This window comes from Homo sapiens, chromosome 3 (assembly GCF_000001405.40).
Source record: "Homo sapiens chromosome 3, GRCh38.p14 Primary Assembly".
Classification (NCBI taxonomy): Eukaryota; Metazoa; Chordata; class Mammalia; order Primates; family Hominidae; genus Homo; species Homo sapiens.
The window spans coordinates 195,002,376-195,008,375 of record NC_000003.12 but is presented as its reverse complement, the minus strand read 5'-3'; the positions used below and the strand labels follow the sequence as shown (position 1 = coordinate 195,008,375).

Below are 6,000 nucleotides of genomic sequence, written 5' to 3'. Positions count from 1 at the left end.
ATGAAAAGTGAACAAATTATCTCATGTTCTAATTCAATAAGAAAAGCTTCTGTTTCTAAGAAGCAGATTTTCATGTTCTTGTCAGCTAAAAATGTCTTAGTGGAAATCAATTTCAGGAACCCATTTCTCCAACTTTCCACACACACCAGCACTTTCTCTGCAAGGACGGTGGAAAGAGACCACCTCTTCTTACCTGTGATATCCTAGTCCACAAGCTGAGCCCAGCCAGACCATCACCAGGTGACCCCACAGGAGGGGTTTGGGGAAGAGCAGAAGGAGCTGTGAAAGCTCTTTTAGGTTTGGGGCTGATTAAGCCACCAGCTGAAGTGGATGTGCAATCTTAATCAAGCCGTCCTCCTTCCTGCCGAGCAGATGGCTGGAAAGACCTGCTTGCTTTTGATAGTCATGTCTTTGTAACTGGTAAGGCCACATTTTGGAAGCACAGAGAGTTGTAAAGTGAATGAAGCATTACGTAACATTATGTGTGAAGAACAAAAGAATAGGCTACGTGGAGGTTGTCAGAAGTCTGAGTATGGAGAGGGAGCCCATTCATGCCTGAAGGATCAAGAAAGTCTGCCTGCCCCCAGCCTTCCTCCTTCCTTCCTTTGAAAAATGTCTGATGAGCTTCGAGTCTGTTCCAGGCATTGTATTTATTAAGTGTTGAGGACCTCGCTGTGAACACGATAGATGTGCGTTTCTCCTGTTAGGGCACACCGCCTACAAGGGGAGACAGGCGTTTAACAAATAATTTCAAACTCTGTGATAATGATGTGTTATGATTTGTTTTTCAAAAGTCAGTGACCGTATATATCATATGTGTGATATGATATATATGTGTGTCTGTTTCTGGGGTCTCTTTTCTGCCCTAGTTGGTCTGAGGCTCTCCTCTCACCAATACCTCACTGTCTGCTACAGAAAGTCTTTTTTTTTTTTCTTTTCTTTTTTGGACAGGGTCTCTCTCTGTCACCCAGGCTGGAGTGCAGTGGCATGATCATGGTTCACTGGGCTCACTGCAGCCTCAGCCTCTCGGGCTCAAGTACTCCTCCCACCTCAGTCTTCCACGTAGCTAGCACTACAGGCACACGCCAACACACCTGGTTAATTTTTGTAGAGACAGGGTCTCCTTATGCTGCTGATGCTGGTCTTGAACTCCTGGGCTCAAGCAATCCTCCCGCTTCAGCCTCCCGAAGTGCTGGGATTACAGGTGTGAGCCACCATGCCTGGCCTGTAGTGCTGGGATTACAGGTGTGAGCCACCGTGCCCAGACTGTAGTGCTGGGATTGCAGGTGTGAGCCACTGTGCCTGATCTGTAGGAAGTCTTGAAAGCTGAGGGTCTTCATCCTCCAACTTTGCTCTTCCTAAATAAATTTAAGAATCAGCTCTTTAGACTCAATGAACTGTGTAAGTCAAGTGTTATGCAGGAGAAGCCCATGGAACTAAGTATTTCTCATAAATGAAGTGTTTGTCATCAGTGCAGAGCTGAATGTCAGACAGGCAAATGGGTGAATGAGGATATGGTAAAAGTTAACTTCCTTTTTACTTTTTTAAGTTTTCTTTTTTTTGTTTTTCAAGGGACTCTGAGATTCTGTGATCCTTTCACAAATGATTTGTGGCTGATGGTTGGATGTGGGTCAGAACTATTTACAGCTGCCCAAGCCATCCTTTGTGTATTTTTGCTTCTTTCAGTCCTTCTTGGTAACAGGCATGTAAGTGAAGCTGGAGACACGATACTGGCCTTTAAAATAGAATGATGGGGAGAGTGGGGAAGACTCACGCTGTAGGACGACAAGCTCACAGATCCCAAGCCCATCGGCACATGAGCCCATGGCCCCACTCCAGGGCTGGAATGTTCCATCCAGGGATTTCGGGGACTCCAGTTGTGTCTGGCAGATTCAAAGATGAGAGAGGGTGAGGCAGCCCCAATATGGCCAGATAGGGAGGCTGCCTTTTGCCTGGGAGCCCTACTGGTCCTTGCCATGCTTGGGGCTGGCAGAAACCGCGCTGTGTTGTGATCAGCAGCGAGGGTCTGGGTCCGCCCTGCTCCCTGTTAGAAGTGCGTGGGTGGGCGGTGGGAGCCCGGGGCTGCCAGTCAGCGGTAGAGCCAGGTTTGGAGGTGGTGCTCATCACTCCCCCCAAATTCCGTGGACTAGAACTTAGTCAGCCGGCCACACCTTATTACGAGGGGAGGCTGGAAAGTGTAGTCTCGCTGTCCACCCCAGGAGGAAGAGGAGAACACAGCAGATTCTTCCACATTAGGGTCCCTCTTCCTCCTGGGAAAGATGGACCAGGACGCAGCCCGGGCTGGCAGGAAGGCCCCCTGGAGGAGGCAGCATTGGCAGTGGGCTGGAAGGATGGTAGGCTTCCTCTGAGATGGGGTGGGTGGGCGTTGTGTTCTGACACACAGAAGTGTTCCGCATACTTAAACTCTCCCCTGTCCCACTTCTCCTTCCAGCTGACTCAGGATGGAGCAGTGTAATTTGGGAGGACCAAGGAGGGTAACTCACCCCAAATATCTCCAGCTGCCCAACCAGCGCCAAGTGAGCACAAATGCCCAGTCTTCTCACAAGGACTTTTGGTGTCATTTTGTGAGCCAGGAAGGTGCCTTTACAGCTGACAATTACATATCCATTGAGGAAACGTAATAAAAACCATCCCTCCCCTCATTTACCTAAATGTGATTTTCTGCAGTCCTTATGTAATTACTGGTATTTTTCAGTAACATTATTAAGGATAAACGAGCTTCGACTTCTCATCTGTCACACACATTCAGATGGGAAAATTTCCTCTTGAGACAGGGAGAGTGGGAGGGAAAGGGAACATTTTCTTGGAGACCACAAATGCTGGCGGGGCTCAGGGCACATTGTCTGGTTATTTGGAATGAATGCTGGCAGATGCCTTCAGTGCTGGGCTCACTTCTCTGCACCTGCCCTCACAGCACCACCTGGGAACCGTCTCGGAGAATGCATCCCCTGCGCTTGGCTGATGGTAGACCCGCCCGCAGTCTGATGCCCAGACGGCAGGGCCCCCAGAAAGGGACAAACTGAGGGCATAGTTTAGAGCTTCTCCTCCTGTGTCCTTTCCCCAGCTCTTCCCTCTCCTAGATGGCTGGAATGGAGATTGAGATTCTTTTTTCAAGAATTTTAAATGGCAGGGACTGTTTCTAAAGAGCAGACCTGTGACTACTTTAAACTGCCCGTGCCCACTACCTGCAAAGCTGTTCCTAAAGCCCTTACCTTATTCACAAGGAGCATGACACGAATGGCTGTGGGGCCTGGGGACAAGAGCCCTGCATACATCTGCTTGGCTTGTGTACTGCACAATTCCAGGGAGGCATCACTCACATAGGCTACAATGTATTCCACCTGCACTGTGGGTGGGTGGCCCGACTGCAGAATCCTGGACGCAGCTAAACAGTACAAGGAGGCCGCCAGGAGACCCCAGACTGGTGCTATCAGGCTTTCTCTAATTTAGGGATGTAAACATTCGCTGCACCTCTGTCAGCTGCCAACATGAAGACAATGGCATTTGGGTGGGAGGGCCTGGGAGCGGTTAACTGGGTTCTATGGCTTGGGCAAGCCATGCCAGTGTTCTGGAGACAAGAGAGAATCCCCCCACCCAACCGTCCTGAGACATATGAATCTGAGGGGCTCAGGGAGACAAGAGTTTCTGAGTAGGCCTAGAGGGCCAATGGGAGGAAAAACCAAAGCGTTGGGTGTGGGAGCCCAGGTTTAGGACCTGCAAACTGAGCTGGGTGCCAGACTCCCAGACTGGACAGTCTCCAGCCAGCTAGTGATCAGATTTTATTCTTTCACTTATGATCATTTCACATCCATTGAACCCTTTCCTTGTGCCAGGCCCTGTAGCAATGCATTATACGATCTCATTTAATCCTCAGGGCACCCTTCGAAGGTTCTTTTGTGATCCTCAGTTTAGAAATGAGGAAACGGACACGGGGAGAGGGTCAGTCACTTGCCCGAGATCACACAGCATGTACACAATGGGACTGGGATCTGAACTCAGATTCTCATTTTGAACAATCATGCTCCTCGCCTTTGCTCAGAATCATCTGAAAATAGGGAACGTTTGCTTTAGGAAAGTAAGATTAGGGGAGGTGGACATGAACGGGGTACACAGGTCTGTCCCAAACACTCTGATCGTGGCATCATTCAACTCCCTGATATCCTCCCCTTCCCTCCTCTTCTACCTCCTCTCATGCTTTTTCGTGTCACAGTCATCCCTTCCAACCAGGCTAGTCCTGACCCCCTGCCTCTAGCGAGGGCAGGGAGAAGGCTATCTGCAGACCGTCACTTTTATCTCTCCATCAACACTCGGTCTTCCCTTCCAGATTTGGTGCTATGTTCACAGCCTTCAAGAAGCCTGCACAGGTTCATGTCACTCATGTATTCATCCAATACCTGATGAGCACCTATTTTGCGCCAGGGACCATTCCAAACCCTGGGATGCACACAGGAATGAGCTGCGTGACCTACCCTTAAAAAGCTCACAGTCTAGCTGGGGAGAAGGGGAGTGGAACAGAGTAGGAGAGACCAGGTGGTCCTGCAACAGCAGCTCTCAAGCTGAAGGACCACCTGGGGATCTGATTGAAAGCTCTGGGGTGGGGCCCAATGTCCTGCCATTCCAACAAGCTGCTGGGTGCTGCTGCGGGGGCTGGGGACCACTCTATGTGTACCAGGAGCCCTGAGTATTCCAGCTGCTACCACACAAATGAATGCCTGGTGCTGGGACGAGGGGAGCTCAGATAGGGAATAGGGGTTTGGGAAGGAGCTGAGTGAGGCCTGAGCCAAGTCCTGACCTAAGTGGAGGGGAAGTGATCTCGGTTGCCTTTTGGAAATGAAATGCATTCAAAACCTCACCAAGGGACCTGGGCTGGCTCTGTTTCCATCCCAGAATGCATACTCTATTTCTTCTGCGTTGACTTGCTTTGAACAAGTCACTTGCTTCTGGGAAATGAGGAGGTTAGGCACAGAAGTTGAGCTGAGGTTCCCTCCGGCTCTAACATTTTTAGGAGGCTGTGGTTCCCACCAAAACCAGCAGATCAACTCCATTTCTTGGCACACTCCTAGAGCCTGTAGACACAAGGGACCTAAGAAATGATGCAATCCGATCTCTTCATTTTGCAAATGAGGAAGCAGAGCCCAAGACGAGGTAATTTTGCAAGATTACATGGTGGGCCTGCGGCCAGACCCAACCCCAGACTCCCAACTGCCAGGCCTCGCTCCTCCCACTGGGGACCCCGTGCTGCACAGTCCCAGGAGGCTCCTTCCCCTTGTATTTCCTCTCCCATGTGAAACCTCTCCCACGGAGTCGTGCACAGGGGTCCTGCCTTCCGTGGTCCCAGACTGTCATTCAGAGTGAGACACATAACTTGCCTGGGAGGAATTAACTAAGCTCTTCCATGAAGAGCTAGCTGCCAACCATCAAAAGAAAGTATTCCCAGCCTGCCAGATTCTCATGGAGGGAAATTACAAGTCTTAGTAATGATCATCACAGGGAGCTCGGAGTAAACACAAAGTCTGTCTCTTTTTTAATCTCAAGTGATTGATGTGAGCAGTACAGCTTCCCTGGTGCTTTAAGGATAACAAAGAACAAATGGAACTTGGTGTGCCGAGTGCATTCGTGGAGGGTGGCATGTCACTGGGTGTTGATCAGATGCAGATGTGGTACTCACACCCACATGAACACAAGGGCTCACACAAAACGCTCACGTGTATAGCTCACGCATGTACACATGCACAACTGCACCTACCCACATTCATTCCTCAGTACTCAGGAGTGATCAGGGGCAAGGCTGTATTTAGCAGAAGGTTCTGGGCACAGTGTGTGCACAACAAATGCCCATTTGGAACTCTGAAAAGCAAACCAATGCACCCTGTAAGCTGAAACTGTATCCCTTTGAAAAACAAACCCCACCTCTCCCCCAGAGGATTAACTGGGTTTACCTCATCCACTGTTTTAATTAATATAGGATACAGCTGGCAG

General features: G+C 49.8%; 1 long non-coding RNA gene across 1 annotated transcript; it reads left to right on the top strand.

Moving 5' to 3' along the window:
- Window positions 1-1,620: 1,620 nt before the first annotated feature.
- On the top strand, window positions 1,621-2,663 carry LOC105374295 (uncharacterized). Its single transcript, XR_007096224.1, has 2 exons — window positions 1,621-1,706; window positions 2,453-2,663. It is a non-coding gene; the product is annotated as an uncharacterized LOC105374295 (long non-coding RNA).
- The last annotated feature ends 3,337 nt before the right edge of the window (window positions 2,664-6,000 follow it).